This window comes from Homo sapiens, chromosome 20 (genome assembly GCF_000001405.40).
Source record: "Homo sapiens chromosome 20, GRCh38.p14 Primary Assembly".
In the NCBI taxonomy this organism is placed as follows: domain Eukaryota; kingdom Metazoa; phylum Chordata; class Mammalia; order Primates; family Hominidae; genus Homo; species Homo sapiens.
In genome coordinates this window covers 34,298,262-34,317,407 of record NC_000020.11, presented here as the reverse complement: position 1 = coordinate 34,317,407, position 19,146 = coordinate 34,298,262, and the positions used below count along the sequence as shown (strand labels likewise).

At 49.3% G+C, this 19,146-nt stretch overlaps 1 protein-coding gene across 9 annotated transcripts in view, besides 4 other annotated features; it reads left to right on the top strand.

Annotated features, from left to right (window-relative positions):
- Positions 5,212-5,810: an enhancer, noted in NCBI's record as "H3K4me1 hESC enhancer chr20:32899404-32900002 (GRCh37/hg19 assembly coordinates)". NCBI's record gives its function as "activates a minimal SCP1, AML or CMV promoter by ChIP-STARR-seq in naive and primed H9 embryonic stem cells {active_cell/tissue: H9 hESC(naive and primed)}" and the evidence as "EXISTENCE:reporter gene assay evidence [ECO:0000049][PMID:30033119]".
- Positions 5,572-19,146, top strand: part of AHCY (adenosylhomocysteinase) — a 79,856-nt gene continuing 66,281 nt past the window's right edge. For 4 of the 9 annotated variants that reach the window (XM_047439962.1, XM_017027709.3, NM_001362750.2 and 1 more), the window contains exon 1: positions 14,053-14,165. In XM_047439962.1, coding sequence (XP_047295918.1) covers positions 14,138-14,165 — 28 coding nt within the window. In that variant the 5' untranslated portion in view covers positions 14,053-14,137. The other 5 variants (XM_011528659.2, NM_001161766.2, NM_001322085.2 and 2 more) reach the window with 5 other exon arrangements.
- Positions 13,689-13,808: an enhancer, noted in NCBI's record as "active region_17760". NCBI's record gives its function as "activates an Ori minimal core promoter by ATAC-STARR-seq in GM12878 lymphoblastoid cells {active_cell/tissue: GM12878}" and the evidence as "EXISTENCE:reporter gene assay evidence [ECO:0000049][PMID:35858748]".
- Positions 13,829-13,878: an enhancer, noted in NCBI's record as "active region_17759". NCBI's record gives its function as "activates an Ori minimal core promoter by ATAC-STARR-seq in GM12878 lymphoblastoid cells {active_cell/tissue: GM12878}" and the evidence as "EXISTENCE:reporter gene assay evidence [ECO:0000049][PMID:35858748]".
- Positions 14,449-14,678: a silencer, noted in NCBI's record as "silent region_12833". NCBI's record gives its function as "represses an Ori minimal core promoter by ATAC-STARR-seq in GM12878 lymphoblastoid cells {active_cell/tissue: GM12878}" and the evidence as "EXISTENCE:reporter gene assay evidence [ECO:0000049][PMID:35858748]".

Sequence of the window (19,146 nt, the reverse complement as noted above, 5' to 3'; positions counted from 1 at the left end):
GGCGGAGGTTGCAGTGACCTGACATTGCGCCACTGCACTCTAGCTTGGGTGACAGAGCGAGACTCCGTCTCAGAAAATAATAAATAAATAAATAAATAAATAAATAATTGTTTTATGCCAATAAATATGGGTGGTTTGTTATGCAGCAAAGAATCACTGAGGCCAGGGCAGAGAATTACCCACAATCAGCCTCAGACCATGATGGGGAGGTGATGCCAATCTTTGTCCCTTTCTGGACCCTCTGCTTTTACCCCCAAGGTCCAGGATCTCAGACCACAACTCCCCATGATGGGCTCCTTCATAGCAAGTGAACACCGGCACAGCAATCTCCCTATATGGGCATGAGCTCTCCAGGCCCCAGGCTCTCATCCACAGTTGACTCTGTGGTACTTTAGGCAGGTGCTCATCCCTCAGTTTTCTCTTCTGTAAAATGCACTGTCTGATGATCCCAGCCCTGCCCACTCACACAGAGGCTATGAGGAGCCATCCTTGAAGCTGAAGTTTAAGGGGTTATTGTCAATGTTTGCATTTTAAGATCCAGGTTGGCAACTAGAACCACACAATGTCCTAAAAAGACATTTCAGGACTATCATATTCAGCATTCTATATATTATAGAAGGGGAAACTGAAATATTAATTGTGAACACAGTCCTGGCACTGAATAAATGCTTATGAATATGAGGAGGTGCGAGAAGGGAGAAACAGGCAGCACTGGCCGAAGGATCCAACTCTTATTTCTTGAGAAGCCTCACTACTGCCCTCCTCCTTCTCTCTGCTCCTACGGTTCCCTGCCCATCGCCCCTTCCCCTTTTGGGTTGCCCCTCTGCCCAGGCCTGGAATGGGCACCTGGTGTGAACTCCTGAACTTGGGATGCCAGCCCTGGCTGATTTGCCTCCCTAAAGGCTCACTCCACCATCCTCTCAAGAGCTGTTGCCTTAGAACACTTCCTCCATGTGCTTACAATAAAAGGCATTTGAGAAGAAACCCATGGCTCTCCAAGATGACTCATTTCCTGGGAGGCATTGGAGCCCTGGGGTGCTGGTTGGGATGACCGCCTGAGCCACTCTTGCTGTTGCCCTTAGCACTTCAGCCTTCTCCATATTCTCCACCTCCAAGGCAGGACAAGGGAAACTGAGTCACCAGAGTCACAAGATCAGGCTTCCGCCCCACCTATCTCCCCCATCTTCTCTTCCCCTTTCCATCTGTATTAGACTCCCAGAGCTGCCATTATGAAGTACCACGCATTTGGTGGCTTACAACAACAGAAATTTATTCTCTCACAGTTCTGGAAGCCAGAAGTCCAAAATCAAGGCATTGGCAGGGTGGGTTCCTTCTGGAGGCTCTGAGGAGAGTCTGTTCCCTGCTTCTATCCTGGTTTCTGGTGACTGCTGGCAATCCCAGGTTTCCTTGGCTTGTAGATGCATCACTCAATCTGCTTCTGTCTTCACCGTGTGGTCTTCTCTGTGTCTGTCTTCTTCCCTTTCCTTGTGTTGTAAGGACACTTGATGCTGGATTTAGGGGACACCTTAATCCAGAATTGTCTCAACTCAAAATCCTTAACTTAATTACATCCACAAAGACTTTTCTTCCAAATAAGGTCACATTTGCAGATTCTAGGTGAACATATCCTTTGGGAGGAGGGCCATCATTTAACTCAGAACACCTCTTTTCCCCGTATTTCTGGAATAAGGTAGAAAACCCTCCTAGTTCCTGGAAATTGGCAATTGACAGTGTTAGTGGTTCCTGGAGTAGCCCCTTCCTGTGGATCCTACTCCTGTTTTTGGCTGGATGGGTTCAACTCCATTAGGAAGAGAGCAGGGTATGTGAGGTGGCCTCACTGACATCAGCAATAGGAAGAAGACAAAAGGAGGAGATAGGTAAATCATAAGCAACACAAGAATCCTGCAACGTGAGGACATTGAATGTAGAGGAAAATGACTCAGTTGGTGCTATGCAAATGAGAACCAAGGTTATTTAATGACAACCAATGCTCATTGGGATGATCCTGGTCCACTGAGAAAACTTCAAGTCAGGGATCAACAACCGATATGGGCCAGGGATGGGGACATATGTTGGCCTCGAGAACTTATGCATCATTCAAAGAAGGCAGCTAACATTTAGCTCACCCACCCATTGCTATGACAACATAAGTCTAGTTGCTAGATAATTTTCTCAAGAGAAGCTGGAAATATGGGGCTCCATGCAAACTCCCCCAGTTTTTATATTTATTTATTTATTTGAGACAGAGTCTCGCTCTGTCGCCCAGGCTGGAGTGTAGTAGCATGATCTCTGCTCACTAAAAACTCCACCTCCCAGATACAAGTGATTCTCCTGCCTCAGCCTCCCAAGTAGCTGGGATTACAGGCGCCCGCCACCATGCCTGGCTAATTTTCATATTTTTAGTAGAGATAGGGTTTCGCCATGTTGGCCAGGCTGGTCTTGAACTCCTGACCTCAGGTGATCCTCCTGCCTCGGCCTCCCAAAGCGCTGGGATTACAGGCGTGAGCCTCTGTGCCCAGCTATTTTGTCCCCACTTTCTTACTCTGCCATGACTTTGCAAATGTGATTCCCACACCTGCACAGTTCTCTCTCTACCTGACTCATTTTGAAGACTTTGGTGGACGCCTCTTCCTCTGAGAGGTTTCCACAGCCCCTAGGCCTAGTGAGTCACCCTCTCCCTCCACCTTGGACTCTCTGCTCTGACCTGCCCTGGCATCCATGATCTGTGTCGTGAACATTGGTGAGTCTTTTTTCCCCACTGGCTAGGAAATTCCTTGAGAGCAGGGCCCAGGTCTGAGTCATCTGTGTTGCCTGCCCTGAGTGGGCAGTTAACAATGTTTGTGGGATCAATGGAAGGGAAGAGGAAGGGAGTGGTGTCACAAACAGCTCTCAGATTACTAGCTGAATCTTGGGCTCCAGGTATCTGGCAGTTAAAGCACAGGTCAATGTTATAGGGATGATCTTAGCCGGATGTGGTGGCTCACGCCTGTAACCCCAGCACTTTGGGAGGCCAAGGTGGGAGGATCGCTTAAGCCCAGGAGTTTGAGATCAGTATTGGCAACATAGTGAGACCCTTACTCTACAAAAATTTTTTAAAAAATAAAAAGAGCTGATTTTTGTCTAACCTAACAGAGTGTGTGCAAAGGTGAGGGTCTGAATATGTGTGAGTACTTGAGAATGTGTGAATGTATGTATGAAGTGTATGAGTGTGGATATACATGTGTGTGTGTTTGAGACGGAGTCTCGCTGTGTCGCCCAGGCTGGAGTGCAGTGGTGCGATCTTGGCTCACGGCGACCTCTTCCGCTGGGTTCAAGCTATTCTCCTGCCTCAGCCTTCTAAGTAAGTAGCTGGGTCTACAGGTGTGTACCAGCATGCCCCGCTAATTTTTGTATTTTTAGTAGAGACGGGTTTCACCATGTTGGCCAGGCTGGTCTCGAACTCCTGACCTTCAGTGATCCACCTGCCTTGGCCTCCCAAAGTGCTGGGATTACAGGCATGAGCCACCGCACCTGGCCTTATTTCTGTAGTATGTATGTACATAGGTGCATGAGCATGAGTATTCGTGTGTGATGGTGGGATGTGTGAATGAGTATGTGTTTGAAGGTTTGTATGGATGTATCTGTAGGTGTAAACATGTTCACTGAATGGAACTCCATGGGAGCAGGGACTTTGTCTTGTCCTGTTTTTTTGTCCTTGCCTCTAGCACACTCAAATGAACATGTCTGGCATGGGGGTTGCAGCAGGGAGCATGATTGCAGGAAGGGTAGCCCAGTGGTTACCAGCAGCGACTCTGGAGTCAGACAGCATTGGTGCTTCCTAACTGTGGGCAAATCAACCACTAGGAGCCTCAGTTTTTCCATGTGTTAAATGGGTACCTACCTTATAGGGTAGCATCTATAAAGTAGGGCAACATCTACCTTACAGGGAAGTTCAAAGAGCTTAGAATTGTGTGTGGAGCATTGGATATAATAAATTTGGACTAGTATCATTATCCTGGGTGTCACTGTCAACACCCAGCAGTCCCAACAATGTGGCTTATGCCTGTAGTCCCAGCACTTGGGAGGCCGAGGTGGAAGGATTGCTTGACCCCAGGAGTTTGAGACCAGCCTGAGCAACATAGTGAGACTTTGTCTCAAAAAAAAAAAAAAAAAAAAAAAAAAAAAGCTGGATGTGGTGATGCATGCTTGTAGTCCCAGCTACTGGGGAGGCTGAAGCAGGAGGATTGCTTGAGCTCAGGAGTTTGAGGCTACAGTGATCTCTGATGGTGCCATAGCATTCCGGCCTGAACAAGAGTGACACCCTGGCTCAACAAAACAGAACAGAACAAAAACATCCCGACAAATGCTTCCAAGGGCTAAAGCCCCTTCAAAACAAGTCCAAAGACCACTTACTAGCAACATTCATTGCTCTTCTCTGAACCTCAGTTTCTTCCTATGGGAGGGAGCGATAAGCTGTACTTTGCTTTCTCCCAGGGCAGCTGGGAGGTTATCATCACAGCGCTCCAAATCCTGCCCCTGGAGGGAAGAGTTTGCACTGCAGCAGTCTGAAGCCAAAGCTGGGAGCAGGGTGCCCTCTCCTGGCACAGTGGAGTCAAGGGCGACTCCAGCTGCAGGGCACAGGCTGACCTCGGAGGTCCAGGGGTGCTATCCGCAAAGGAAGGTGGGCAAAATGGAGCCGTCTGGGGAGGGCACCTTACAGCTCCCTACTCTTGCAGCGTGGAGCCCGTGCTCCCTTTCTGTGGACTGAGCTCCTCTGCCTCAGATCTCGCTCCAAGGACGTCTCCCACCCTGCCCCCGCCCCGTCAGACTGGACCAACCCCCCACTCCTCCCCATTACAAGTTCTCAGAGTGTTCCTTTTGCTTTTCTATCATCTGAGAAATGAAGGGCAGGGGCAGAACCCCTGGCTGTGTGACTCCTAAGGTCCCTGGACGAGGCTCTTAGCAAATATTAGGATAAAAGGGGCGTGGAAGCTCAGACAAGGCTGGGAAGTGAACCCAGAGGCCATCCAGCCCCACTGGGGAACGATCCAGCCTCAGCGGGGGACGTCAGAGACCTGGATTAGGGGACTCCCTGGCTCCACCCTGAGGAGAGCCAGGACTGTGGGCTGAAGCCAAGGGGCACCACAGCGTGGGTTCCGGGGCAGACATCTGGGAACATTAATTCATTCCCAAATATTGTGTGCAGTCTGTGTGCCAGGCACTGAGCTGGACCCTGGGGACACAGCAGCTGGCAAAGCCATACAGGTTTCTGTCCCTCCTGGAAGTAATGGGACAGGCACATAATCAGATGATTTCGATATAATGATATAGAACCACACCACCTCACATCCCCCTTTCGGGGTGCCTCTTAAAGCCTGTCGCTTAGAGATGGCCCGCGGCTAGGGAGGGGCGCTCTCTTATATTCTACGAGTCTGGAGGGCTCCCCCAACGGAAGAAACCCGCGGATGGGTGGGCCGGCAGCTCCTGGGACGCCCGACTCACAGCGGAGCCGCGTGGGATGAGAAGGATTGAGGGAGAGAGGGGGGCCCTGTCCCAGGGTCTCTAAGAAGTCCCCCACCTCTGTACTCCCCAGCCCAGCGGTGACTTCGAGGTGGGCCCAGGGGGCCTGGAGGGAGGGGCGTGGATACAGCGGGAAAGGAGAGACCCCTAGCGGGGTGGACAAGAAGGGAGGAACTCCACAGAACTGCTTAATCCGGCTCCATCCCCATCAGCGGGCTTTCTCAGCGCCTGCACCCCTCTCTATCCCATCTCGAAGCCTCCAGTTAATCCAGAGTGAGACGCAGGACCGCCGGGAGGCGAGCGGGGATGCTGAAGCTAGGGCAGGCTAAAGCCCCGCGGCCAAAGGGCAGGCTTGTGCGCCCTCCGCCCCCTCTCCGCCCCCTCTCCGCCCCTCCGCGCCCAGGACCTAATTGTTTGCAAAAGCAAACACGGAAAAGGCAGGTACAAAGGTCGGGAGGAGGGACCGGGACCTGCTTCTGCCTGGGGTTTCGACCTTCCCGCCAGAAGCTCCACTGGGGCCTGGACCTGGAGAAGGGACATCAACAGTTAACGTCCAGGGCAGCTTTCAGCGGCGTGGGCGGGGATCCCCAGGGAAGCACTGTTAGCAGTTTCTTGTACATCCAGCCTGGTATATTTTCTGCATGTATAGGCAAATACCTGTTTGTGTGTTCTTTTCTTTCTTTTACATAAATAATCGCATACTAGGCGCACCGTTCTGCACTTTGCTTTTTGTCCTTCATTATATGTTTTGTTGTTGGTTTTGTTGTTGTTGTTGTTTTGTTTGTTTTTTAGACAGAGTCTCACTCTGTTGCCCAGGCTAGAGTGCAGTGGCACAATCTCGGCTCACTGCAACCTACCGGGCTCAAGCGATTCTCCTGCCTCAGCCTACTGAGTAGCTGGGATTACAGGTGTGTGCCACCACGCCCGCCTAATTTTTGTATTTTTAGTAGAGATGGGATTTCGCCATGTTGGCCAGGCCGATCTCGAACTCCTGACCTCAGGTGACCCGCCCGAATCAGCCTTCCAAAGTGCTGGGATTACAGACATGAGCCACCACGCCCGACTGTCGTTTTTTTAAAATACGGACAGGGTCTCGCTTTGTTGCCCAGGCAGAGTGCAGTGGCGCTTAGGCCTCAGGCTTGGGCCATCGCACTGGGCCACCATATCTTGAAGATCATTCTATATTGTTAGATAAACAGCTCATTTAAACAAAAAAATGGCTATCTGCATATTCCATCATGTGGACTGTACCAATATTTATTTAACAAGTCTTCCATGGAAGGACAGTCTTTTGTTCTTAACGTCATTTTGCTCATGTGTACAAACATCTTTGGAATAAATTCCTAGAAGTGGAACTGCTTGGTCAAAGGGCATGCGGGTTTGTAATCTTGTTAGTTATTACCAGAGTGTTGTTCATTAAGGTTGTGCCAATGTACAATCCCAAAACCAAAGTATGAGGAGGCCTGTTTCCCCACACTCTTACCAATAGTATGTTATTAAACTGTAAACTTTTTATCCATGTGATAGTAAACTTAAAAATAAAATTAATCAGCCGGGCATGGTGGCTCACGTCTGTAATCCCAGCACTTTGGGAGGCCAAGGCAGGTGGATCACGAGGTCAGGCGTTCAAGACCAGCCTGGCCAACATAGTGAAACCCCATCTCTATTAAAAATAAAAATAAAAATAATTAGCTGGGCGTGGTGGCAGGCGCCTGTAATCCCAGCTACTTGGGAGGCTGAGGCAGGAGAATCGCTTGAACCTGGGAGGTGGAGGTTGCAGTGAGCCAAGATCGCGCCACTGCATTCCAGCCCGGGTAACAGTGTGAGACTCTGTCTCAAAAAAAAAATTCATCATTCAATTTCCCCAAGCCACATAGGGAGCCTGGACTTTCACCCCCAACCTGGCACTAAGAAGGCACCCCTCCACCTCCATGGTTCTTCTATTGTTTCCTTCCTTCCCTTCCCTCCCTCCTTCCCTTCCTTCCTTCCTTCTTTCCTTCCTTCCTCCCTCCCTCCTTCCCTCCCTACCTCCTTTTCTCCCTCCCTCCTTCCTTCTGTCCTGCTCCTCCTCTCTCTTTTCTTTTCTCTTTTTTCTTTCTTTAATTAATTAATTCACTTATTTATTTTGAGACAGAGTCTTGCTCTTGTAGCCCAGGCTGGAGTGCAATGGCACGATCTCGGCTCACTGCAGCCTCCCCTTCCTGGGTTCAAGCGATTCTCCTGCCTCAGCCTCCCAAGTAGCTGGGATTACAAGTGCCTGCCACCACGCCCGGCTAATTTTTGTATTTTTAGTGGAGACAGGGGTTTCCTCTTGAAATCCTGACCTTGTGATCTGCCAGCCTCGGCTTCCCAAAGTGCTGGGATCACAGGCATGAGCCACTGTGCCTGGCCTAATTTTTTATTTTAAGAGAGGAGGTCTTGCTGTTAATATATTGCTCGGGCTGGCCTTGAATTCCTGGGCTCCAGCGATCCTTCCAACTCACAAGTAGCTGAAGTTACAGGGCGCACCAAAACTCCTGGCTCATTTTCATTATTAATGATAAAAGGTCAATCCACTAAGAAAACATAGCACTCCGAAGTGTGTATGTATGGAAAACAGAGCTGCAAAATATGTGAAGCAAAAACTAATAGATAGAAATAGATAAATCCGGCCAGGCGTGGTGGCTCACGCCTGTAATCTCAACACTTTGGGAGGCCAAGGCAGGTGGATCACTTCAGGTCAGGAGTTCGAGACCAGCCTGGCCAACATGGTGAAACCCTGTCTCTACTAAAAATACAAAAATTAGCCGGGTGTGGTGGTGCATGCCTGTAATCCCACTTATTTGGGAGACTGAGGCAGGAGAATCACTTGAACTCAGGAGGCGGAGGTTGCAGTGAGCTGAGAGTGTGCCACTGTACCCTAGCTTGAGCAGCAGAGGGAGACTCCATCTCAAAAAAAAAAAAAAAAAAAAAATTGGCCAGGCGCAGTGGCTCACGCCTGTAATCCCAGCACTTTGGGAGGCCGAGGCAGGCAGATCACCTGGGCTCAGAAGTTCAAGACCAGCCTGACCAACATGGTGAAACCCCGTCTCTACTAAAAATATAAGAATTAGCTGGGCATCGTGGTGGGTGCTTGTAATCCCAGCTACTCAGGAGGCTGAGGCAGGAGAATCGCTTGAACCCGGGAGGCGGAGGTTGCAGTGAACAGAGATCGCACCACTGCACCCCAGCCTGGGTGACAGAGCAACTCTCTGTGTCAAAAAAAAAAAAAAAATTGCCAAATTAATTACCCTTCAGAAATTTGGTTCCTAGTCTTGATACTCTCCAAAATTGGGTATAATTATGGATTTCAAATACTTAAAAAAAATTTTCTTTTTCTTTAGACAGAGTCTCTCTCTGTCACCAAGTCTGGAGTGCAGTGGCATAATCTTGGCTCACTGCAACCTCCACCTCCCAGATTCAAGCAACTGTCCTGCCTCAGCCTCACAAGTAACTGGGATTACAGGTGCATGCCACCATGCCCGGCTAATTTTGTATTTTTAGTAGAGATGCGGTTTTGCCATGTTGGCCAGGCTGGCCTTGAACTCCTGACCTCAAGTGATCCACCTGCCTTGGCCTCCCAAAGTGCTGGGACTATAGGCCTGAGCCACCACACCTGGCCAAATCTTTTAAAATTTAACAGGTACTATTCACAATAGCAAAGACATAGAGTCAACCTAAATTCCCATTAATGGTAGACTGGATAAAGAAAACGTGGTACATATACACCATGGAATACTATGCATGCATAAAAAAGAACAAGATCATGTCCTTTGCAGGAACATAGATGCAACTGGAGGCCATTATCCTTAACAAACTAACCCAGGAACAGAAAACCAAATACAGCATGTTCTCACTTATAAGTGGAAGCTAAATAATGAAAACACATCAACAGAGAGAGGGAACAATGGACATGGGCCCTATTTGAGGGATGAGGGTGAGAAAAGGGAGAGGTTTAGAAAAAAAAAAACTTAGGTGCTGTGCTTCGTACCCAGGTGATGAAATAATCTGTACACCAAACCCCCAACTCACCAGTTTACCTATGTACCAAACTGGCACAGGTACCCCTGAACTAAAATAAAAGTTAAAAAATTTTTTTAATTTAATGGGTGACAAAACTTTGCCATACACTCACCAACAATGAACATTATCATTTGTAATTAAACCTTTTATTTTGAGATAATTGTAGATTCATGTGCAGTTGTAAGAAAACACAGGGGGCTGGGCACGGTGGCTCACGCCTGTAATCCCAATACTTTGGGAAGCCAGGGCGGGCGGATCACCCGAGGTCAGGAGTTCGAGACCAGCCTGACCAACATGGAGAAACCCCATCTCTACTAAAAATACAAAATTAGCTGGACACGGTGGCATGTGCCTGTAATCCCAGCTGCTCAGGAGGCTGAGGCATGAGAATTGCTTGAACTTGGGAGGAGGAGGTTGCAGTGAGCCAAGATTTTGCCATTGCATTCCAGCCTGGGCAACAAGAGCGAAACTCCGACAAAAAAAACAAAAAACAAAAAACAAAAAAACCTCAGCATGTTGGGAGGCTGAAGCAGGTGGATCATTTGAGGTCAGAGGTTCAAGACCAGCCTGGCCAACATGGCGAAAGCCCATCTCTACTAAAAATATAAATATTAGCCGGGTGGTAGCGACATGCACCTGTAATCCCAGCTACTCAGGAGGCTGAGGCAGGAGAATGGCTTGAGCCTGGGAGAGGTGGAGGTTGCTGTGAGCCTAGATAGCAGACCCTGTCTCAAAAAAAAAAAAAAAGAAAAAGAAAAAAGAAACAAAGAAAACACAGAGAAATCCCAATGCCCTTTGCTCGCTTTCTCCCAATGGTGACATCTTGCAAAACCATAATAAAACATCTCAACTAGGATACTGACAATGATAAAGCAAGATCCAGAACATTCCATCACCACAAAGTTTCCTCATGTTGCCCTTTTACAGCCACATTTACCTCTCTCTTGCTCCCGTCCCCTACCTAATACCTGGCAACCACTAATCTGTGGTTCATTTCTATAATTTGGTCATTTCAAGAATATTATAGAAATGAAATAATATACTATGTAATATATTGGAATTGGTTTTTGTCACTCAGCATAATTCTCTAAGGATTCATCCAGGTTGCTGCATTTATCAAAGTTTATTCCTTTTGCTGAGTATTATTTCATGGTATGGCTGTACCAATTTGTTTAACTGTTCATCCATTAAAAGAACCTGGCTGGGCGTGGTGGCTTACACCTGTAATCCCAGCACTTTGGAAGGCCAAGGCGGGAGGATCACTTGATGTCAGAAGTTCAAGACCAGTCTGGCCAACATGGTGAAACACCGTCTCTATTAAAAATACAAAAATTATCCGGGTGTGGGAGCGTGTGCCTGTAATCCCAGGTACTTGGGAGGCTAAGGTACGAGAATCACTTTGAACCTGGGAGACAGAGGTTGCAGTGAGCCGAGATCACACCATTGCACTCCAGCCTGGGCAACAGAGAGACACTCTTTCTCAAAAAAAAAAAAAAAGAAGCTGAAATAATAGGAAATTGGCTATATCAATTGCAATATATCCATAGGCTAGAACATTCTGCTGCTAGAGAGGTTGCATAAGGCCAGACTAAGGTGCTTAGACCTTCTCCTGAGACCAGCAGTCTCCAAAGTTTTGTTCATATGAACTTAACGGTACAAATATTAGCAAATATCTCATTAGCTGATATCTCAAAGCACGATATACAGTGAGGATGAGAGTCATCATTAATTAATGAGAGGGCATGTAAATTCACATTTCTTTTTTTTTCTTTTTTTTTTTTTTTTTTTGAGGCAGTCTTGTTCTGTCACCCAGGCTGGAGTGCGGTGGCGCAATCTTGGCTCAATGCAACATCCGCCTCCTGGGTTCAAACAATTCTTGTCCCTCAGCCTCCTGAGTAGCTGAGTTTACAGACGTGCACCATCACGCCCGGCTAATTTTTGTATTTTTAGTAGATACAGGGTTTCACTATGTTGGCCAGGCTGGTCTGGAACTCCTGACCCCAAGTGATCCACTCGCCCCGGCTTCCAAAGTGCTGGGATTACAGGTGTGAGTCACTGCGCCTGGTCCGTAAATTCATATTTCAAAGTGTCTTTTTCATTGTTTTCTCAAATTTTATTACATTCCTTACAACATGGCTGACAAAGACCAGCATTCATACCAGAAAGAGACCTGTCAGCTGTGTCCTTTTCTACTTGTTTGCTGTGCTGGTAATTTTCACAGTATCTGGAACTTGCCATTTCTTTGCAGGAATATTTTGAAGCCATTTTTCTGTTCTCGTAGGACAACCTAGTAACATGATCCTACGTTTAGTTAGACTGACACGACTCACTACACACTGCAATGCACTGCAGAATGCTGAAAGGGATGCGTGAGGACCCTGCTGCCCACCTCCCAGGCGTGGACCCTCGTTCCCTCAGGAAGTCTCTGCTTGACATCGGCCCTCATGACTCTCAGACAGAGGTCAGATGTACAGATCAAGTGAGACCAATACATTTACTATGTCATAGAAGACCTTAATTCTTATTTTTATTTTTTATTTTTTGAGACAAGAGTCTCCCTCCGTCGCCCAGGCCGGAGTGCAGTGGTGCGATCTCGGCTCACTGCAAGCTCGGCCTCCCGGGTTCACGCCATTCTCCTGCCTCAGCCTTGCGAGTAGCTGGGACTACAGGCTCCCGACACCACGCCCAGCTAATTTTTTTTTTTTTTTGTATTTTTAGTAGAGATGGGGTTTTACCCTGTTAGCCAGGATGGTCTCGATTTCCTGACCCCGTGATCCGCCCGCCTCGGCCTCCCAATGTGCTGGGATTACAGGCGTGAGCCACGCGCCCGGCCAGAAGAGTTTAATTCTTTTCTCATTTTTAGGTTAAAAAATGAGTAGAGGCCGGGCACGGTGGCTCACGCCAGTAATCCCAGCACTTTGGGAGGCAGAGGCTGGCGGATCACCTGAGGTCGGGAGTTCGAGATTAGCCTGACCAATATGGAGAAACCCCGTCTCTACTAAAAATACAAAATTAGCCAGGCGTGGTGGCTCATGCCTGTAATCCCAGCTACTCGGGAGGCTGAGGCAAGAGAATCGCTTGAATCCGGGAGGCAGAGGTTGGTGTGAGCCAAGATCATGCCATTGCACTCCAGCCTGGGCAACAAGCGCCAAACTCTATCTCAAAAAAAGAAAAAACAAAATTAGCCAGGTGTGGTGGTGCGTGCCTGTAATCCAAGCCACTCGGGAGGCTGAGGCAGGAGAATTGCTTGAACCCGGGAGGTGGAGGTTGCAGCGAGCCTAGATGGTGCCACTGCACTCCAGTGTGGGCGACAGAGTGAGACTCCATAAAAAAAAAAAAAAATTCAGGGGAAAAAAAGCAATTAAAAAAACATAACTATAAAAATAATACAAATTACAAAACAACCATTTGCATAGCATTTACATTATATTAGTTATAAGTAATCTAGAGATGATTAAAGTGTACGGAGGAATGTGCATAGGTTATATGCCAATACTGCCTCATTTTATATGAGGGACTTGAACATAGAAGGGTTTTGGAGTCCACAGAGGTCCTGAAACCAATTTCCCCTTCCCATGCCTGGGATGACTGAATTATACAGCAGCAAAAATGAATATACTCAAGCTATATGCATGAGTCTCATAAATATAATGCTCACAGAAAAAAGCAAGTTGCAGAAGGGTAAATACGGTTGATATATAAAGGTGCTAAACACAGAACTATTTAATGATATACGGATGCAGTAAAAGTATAAGAAATGTATGCAAACTTACTTAAATTCAGGGTGTTGGTTACTTGGAGTAAGGCGAATGTTTGGGATGTCAGTAGGTACCTGACAAATGGCAACTTAACTTTGTTTTGGTTTTTTTGAGATAGGGTCTTGCCCTTTCGCCCAGGCTCAAGTGCTGTGGTGGGATGATAGCTCACTGCAGCCTCGATCTCCAGGCTCAAAAGATCCTCCCTCCCGCCTCCGCGTCCCAAGTAGCTGGGACCACAAGCGCGCGCCACCACGCCCGGCTAATTTTTAATTTTTTTTTGTAGAGTTCAGGTCTCACTGTGTTGCCCAGGATGGTCTTGAACTCCTGGGCTCAAGCGATCCTCCCGCCTTGGCCTCCCAAAGTGCTGGGATTACAGGTGTGAGCCACCGCGCCTGGCCTGCAACTTTACTTATAATAATCTGTGTGGCAGATGTCATTTGGCCCATTTTACAGATGAGGAAATTGAGGCACAGGGAAGTGAACTGGCGGAATTTCAGTTCCGCTGGGTTTTGACACTGAATCAACTGGCTGAACCAGCGAGAGGACGGCCCGGCTGGCTCTCAGGCCTCTCCCGGCGCTCCCTTCCGGACCGGTGAGTGAGACTCCTGGGGCCACGCCTTGTGAAATTCTGAGGCTTCTTTTCAGGGATCGAAATCCCCTCCGGCTCCGCCCTGCGCGTTGGGCCCCGCCCCAGCGGGTCATGAATATGCAAGTGCGAGGAAGATATTTAAAGGCGTCGGCGCCACGCGCATATCCCTGCTCGGCGCTGCCCGCCCAGTTCCTGTTCCCAGACTGAGGCCCAGCCCCCTTCGCCCGTTTCCATCACGAGTGCCGCCAGCATGTCTGACAAACTGCCCTACAAAGTCGGTGAGTCCCAGGACCTGCAGCCGGTTGCGGCCGCCCGGCACCCGCCCGGGGCTTGTTCGTGGCGGGGGCTGCAGGGCCGACTCGGGGCTCTCTGGACCCCCTGGAATCGCAGCCTCGGCGCGTTTCTGGCCGCGCGAAGCCAGCTGGAAGTTGGAGTTCTCGCGCGGCCATGAGCGGGCCGTTCCGGGTGGCCGTGGACTACAAGTCCCAGCATGCCCCGCGACGCCGGGGCCGCCGCGCGGTCTGCGAGCCGCAAACTGGCGGCGTGCTCCGCGGGAGAGCACACCTGGCCACGGCCTGGGACGGCTGGCACCTGCCGGACCCTGCTCGGGGGGCCTGCGCCCGGCCTCCTAGGCCTGGACCGGACCCTGTCCAGCTGGGCGGCCCCGACGAGCGTCCACCCCTCTCTGGGCCTCCTACAGGGACGGCGAGGGCACCCCGGAGGGTGTATGAGGAGAGGCCTGGAAAGCGAGCCCCAGGCCGGCTCCGATCCTCCTCTCCCCTGGGACTTTGGGCCAGTTACCCAACCTGTGGGGTCCCCCACCCCTCCAGCAGGGGCAGCCTTGCAGAAATCTCGAAGAAAATTTGGAGTGGTTTGAAAAATCCTGCTGTCCCACCGATTGAAGTGTAATACAGGGATAGTTAACGTTTACTTAGTGTTTCCTGTGGGATCGGCACTGCCTTCTAGCTTTATTCTAGTCTCATGGCTCTATAGGGAAACTGTTCTCATTTTATGATGAGAATCCTGAGGCAGAGGTAACTTGCCCTCAGTCTTACAGCTGGTGGTGATGGAGCAAGATTGGAACGCAGGCCATCTAGATCTCTGAGCGCACCCTTTCACCACTGTGTGCAAGCGAATACACGCGGAACAATCCTAGTGAATTTTCAGCAAAAACCAGTTCAGTTTGGCTGGTAGCTTTTCAAGTAACTTTGACACTATTGGACCGGGTGTGGTGGCTCACCCCTGTAGTCCCAGCACTTTGAGAGGCCGAGGTGGGCGAATCACTTGAGGTCAAGAGTTCGAGACCAGCCTGGCCAACGTGGTGAAACGCTATCTCTACCAAAAATACAAAAACTAGCTGGGCGTGGTGGCGGGCGCCTTCATTCCCAGCTACTCGGGAGGCTGAGGCAGGAGGACTGTTTGAGCCGGGGAGACGGAGGTTGCAGTGAGCCGAGATTGCACCACCACGCTCCAACCTGGGCAACAGAGCAAGACCCTGTCTCAAAAAAAAAAAACAAACAAAAAAAGACACTATTAAGTCTGGAGAATGCCATCCACATTTATGGAAACACTTGCTGTATATCTGGTGATTTACGTGTGTTTACACAATAATCTTCATAGAGGTGGACGTAATCCCGTTATATAGAGCATGAAACTGAGGCCCTTGGGAGGTGACTTGCAAAGATTCTGTTGAAGTAGTTCATCAAGTTGCTACCAGAGTAGACTGTCTCCATTGTGTGGATGCTGAAACTGAACCCAGAAAGGTTATGTGAAGGTCACATCAATAGTAGAGCTGGAATGGGGGCTTGTCATACTGTGGAGAGATTAGTGGGTCAGGATTGGGGCCATTGGGTTGTGTGGGTGGAGATAAAGCTGGATTTGGGGATGGGGAGCTTAGCTGGGTGGGGCTGGAGGAAGGAGGCCCTGCTGTATGCCAGATCTTGATCATATGGCATTATCTTTACTTAAGGCGCATAGCAAGCTAGGGATGATTATCCACACTTTACAGATGAAGAAACTGATGTTTACAGGGGCTCTTGCTGTTCCTCTTGGCTTGTCCTGGGGACAGGTGTTCCTGTGACTTTTGCAAGTCCTTAGCTCCAGAGATTGCAGCATCTAGCCTCTCCTGTGCCTTTGGAGTTGAGGGTCCCAGGGAAAACTGTGGGGCTGGCACAGTGTCCTCGAGGGCACTGAAGGAGTTATTTTTAGCTGGAGGGACATGTGGTGGTGGAGGGGTGGAGCTTAGCAGCACAGGGCATAACCCATTGTCCCATACAGCCGGGCCCCTCCCAGGAGGGGCCTTGAGAGGGGCCTCTGCTCTAGCCCTGCCTGGCTGCCAGTTCTGGTTCTGCGGTTAATTGGCTATGGAACCTGCAGCAAACTCCTCTCTGGGTCCTCTCTGGGTCATTAGTAAATGCTGGGACTCAGACTAGGTTCAGATTTGTGTTGTTTTTCTTTGCCACCCTTGTCACGTGCCAGCCCCTCTCATGGATCTTTCATTCAGTTCTGAGGACAGATATGGTCGGTAAACAGTTGCTGACCCCTTCTCTGAGCCAGGTCATGCTGGAGACACAAAGGTGACCCAGAGACAGGGGTGGCACAGACATGCATACAGATAAAGTAGTATTGTCTCCATTTTATGTGAGCAGATCTGCCACTTGTCTGTCTCCACGGTCACCACCCCAGTCTGGTCTCTCTCCTTGCAGGTCTCCCTGGATCTCTTGCTCCGCAGATCCACACAGCAGCCAATGGGGTCTTTTCAAAAGACAAATCTGGTCTCTGAATGCTGGCCCCTGAAAACTGTAGGTTCCCCACTTCACTGGGACTGAAGTCCCAACTCATCTTATGCCTCTATTTGAGTCACCCTGGTGCACTCTTGGTTCCTCTAGCAGGGATATACTAGGTTCTTTCCTGTTTCCAGGTTTTTTTCAGCACCTACTGTGTGCCAGGTACTGTATTAGGTGCTTGAGAGGAGCCTTCCAGGCCGAGAACTGCTTGGGTTAAAGCCCTGAGGTGGAAATGAGTGGAGCTTGCCTGAAGTCAGTCAGGAAGCCTGTGTGTTGAACAGCTAGTGAGTGGGGAAAGTGGAGAGATGGAGGAGGGGCAGGCAGTCATGCAGATAGGGCCCGAAGATTGAGGGAAGCCATTGGAGGGTTTGCTTGTTTAGTTTTGTTTACTTTAGTAGAATGATGGAGGTGATGTAACTTAAATTTTTAAGAGCCTCCCTCTTCTGGCTGCTGTGGGGAGAATGGCATGTTAGAGCATGGGACCAGTGAAGAGAGTGTGGCAGTGTCCAACTGAGAAGTGGCAGTGTATTTATTTCTTTATTGTTTTTTTTGGAGACAGAGTCTCCCTCTCACCCAGGTTGGAGTGCAGTGGTGCTATTTTAGCTCACTGCCACCTCCGCCTCCCAGGTTCAAGCAATTCTCCTGCCTCAGCCTCCTGAGTAGGTGGGATTATAAGTGCCCACCACCACGCCCAACTAATTTTTGTATTTTTAGTAGAGATGGGATTTCACCATGTTGGCCAGGCTGCTCTCGAACTTCTGACCTCGGGTGATCCGCCCACCTTGGCCTCCCAAAGTGCTGGGATTACAGGCTGTGAGCCACCGCGCCCAGCCTGAGAAGTGACAGTTTAGATGAAGGTGGTGAGATGCAGTTGGATTGCTTATATATTTCACTTGTTGAGCCAAAAACGTGCTGATTGAGGTGAAAGAGGAAAAGAGGAATCAAATCTTAAGTTTTTGGGCAGAGTAGCTGGTTGAATGGTGGTTTCATTTCCTAAAATGGGAAGATTGGGAGAGTAACCGGTAGTGGGGGCAAAGGAGCCATGAGGACTCCAACATGACACATAATAGATCCAACTGGACATCCAAGTGGAGGTGCTGTGGAGGCAGTTGGATCACATCGAGTCTCAAGTTCAGGGGAGTAGTTTGGGCTGGATATAAATACGTGGGAGTCATCCCCGTAGAGAAGGTATGTAAAGCCATAAGACTGGATGAGCTTAATTGGTAAACATAAGAGAACTGGGAGATGATGGAGCCCTGAGGGCCCCCAAACCCTAAAGTCTGTTAGCTAAAGAGGAACCAGGAAGGTAGGTGGAAAAGCACAGGACAGTCACAGAAGCCAAGTAAAGAAAGGGTTTCAGGAAGGAGGGCAAGTCATTCATGCAATCTGTGCTGCTGGTAGAAACATGGTCTTAGGTAATTTTGCATCAGGTATGGAGATCAGGCTGGTCTTTGGACGGAAGAGCAGTTTTAGTGGAGTATGGAAGTCCTTAAGGAGGAGAGGGGATATGGAATCAGGCCCCATGGAGCAGGGATAGTGTAGTGACCAGCCCCATAGGGTCGGTGGGTCTCTCCCTGTGTGCGGCGACGAGAGAGTGTAGAAATAAAGATACAAGACAAAGAGACAAGAGAAAAGGCAGCTGGGCCCGGGGGACCACTACCATCAATGCGCGGAGACCGGTAGTGGCCCCGAATGTTGGGCTGCGCTGTTATTTATTGCATATAAGGCAGAAGGGGCAGGGTAAAGAATGTGAGTCACCTCCAAGGATAGGTAAGGTCATGTGGGTCACGTGTCCACTGGACAGGGGGCCCTTCCCTGCCTGGCAGCCGAGGCAGGGAGGGAGAGGAGACAGAGAGAAAGACAGCTTACGCAATTATTTCTGCATATCAGGGACTATTAGTATTTTTACTAATTTACTACTGCTATCTAGAAGGCATAGCCAGGTGTACAGGATGGAACATGAAGGCAGACTAGGAGTGTGACCACTGAAGCACAGCATCACAGGGAGATGGTTAGGCCTCTGGATAACTGTGGGCGAGCCTGGCTGATGTCAGGCCCTCTACAAGAGGTGGAGGAGCAGAGTCTTTTCTAAACTCCCCTGGGGAAAGGGAGACACCCCCCCCCCTCCCGCCGCCGCCACTTCCCAGTCTGCTAAGTAGCGGGTGTTGTTCCTTGACACCTTTTGCTACCGCTGGACCACGATCCGCCTGGTAACGGGCGTCTTCCCAGACGCTGGCGTCACCGCTAGACCAAGGAGCCCTCTGGTGGCCCTGTCCGGGCATAACAGAAGGCTCGCACTCTTGTCTTCTGGTCACACCTCACTATGTCCCCTCAGCTCCTATCTCTGTATGGCCTGGTTTTTCCTAGGCTATGATTATAGAGCAAGGATTATCATAATATTGGAATAAAAAGTAATTGCTACAAACTAATGATTAATGATATTCATATATAATCATATATAAGATCTATATCT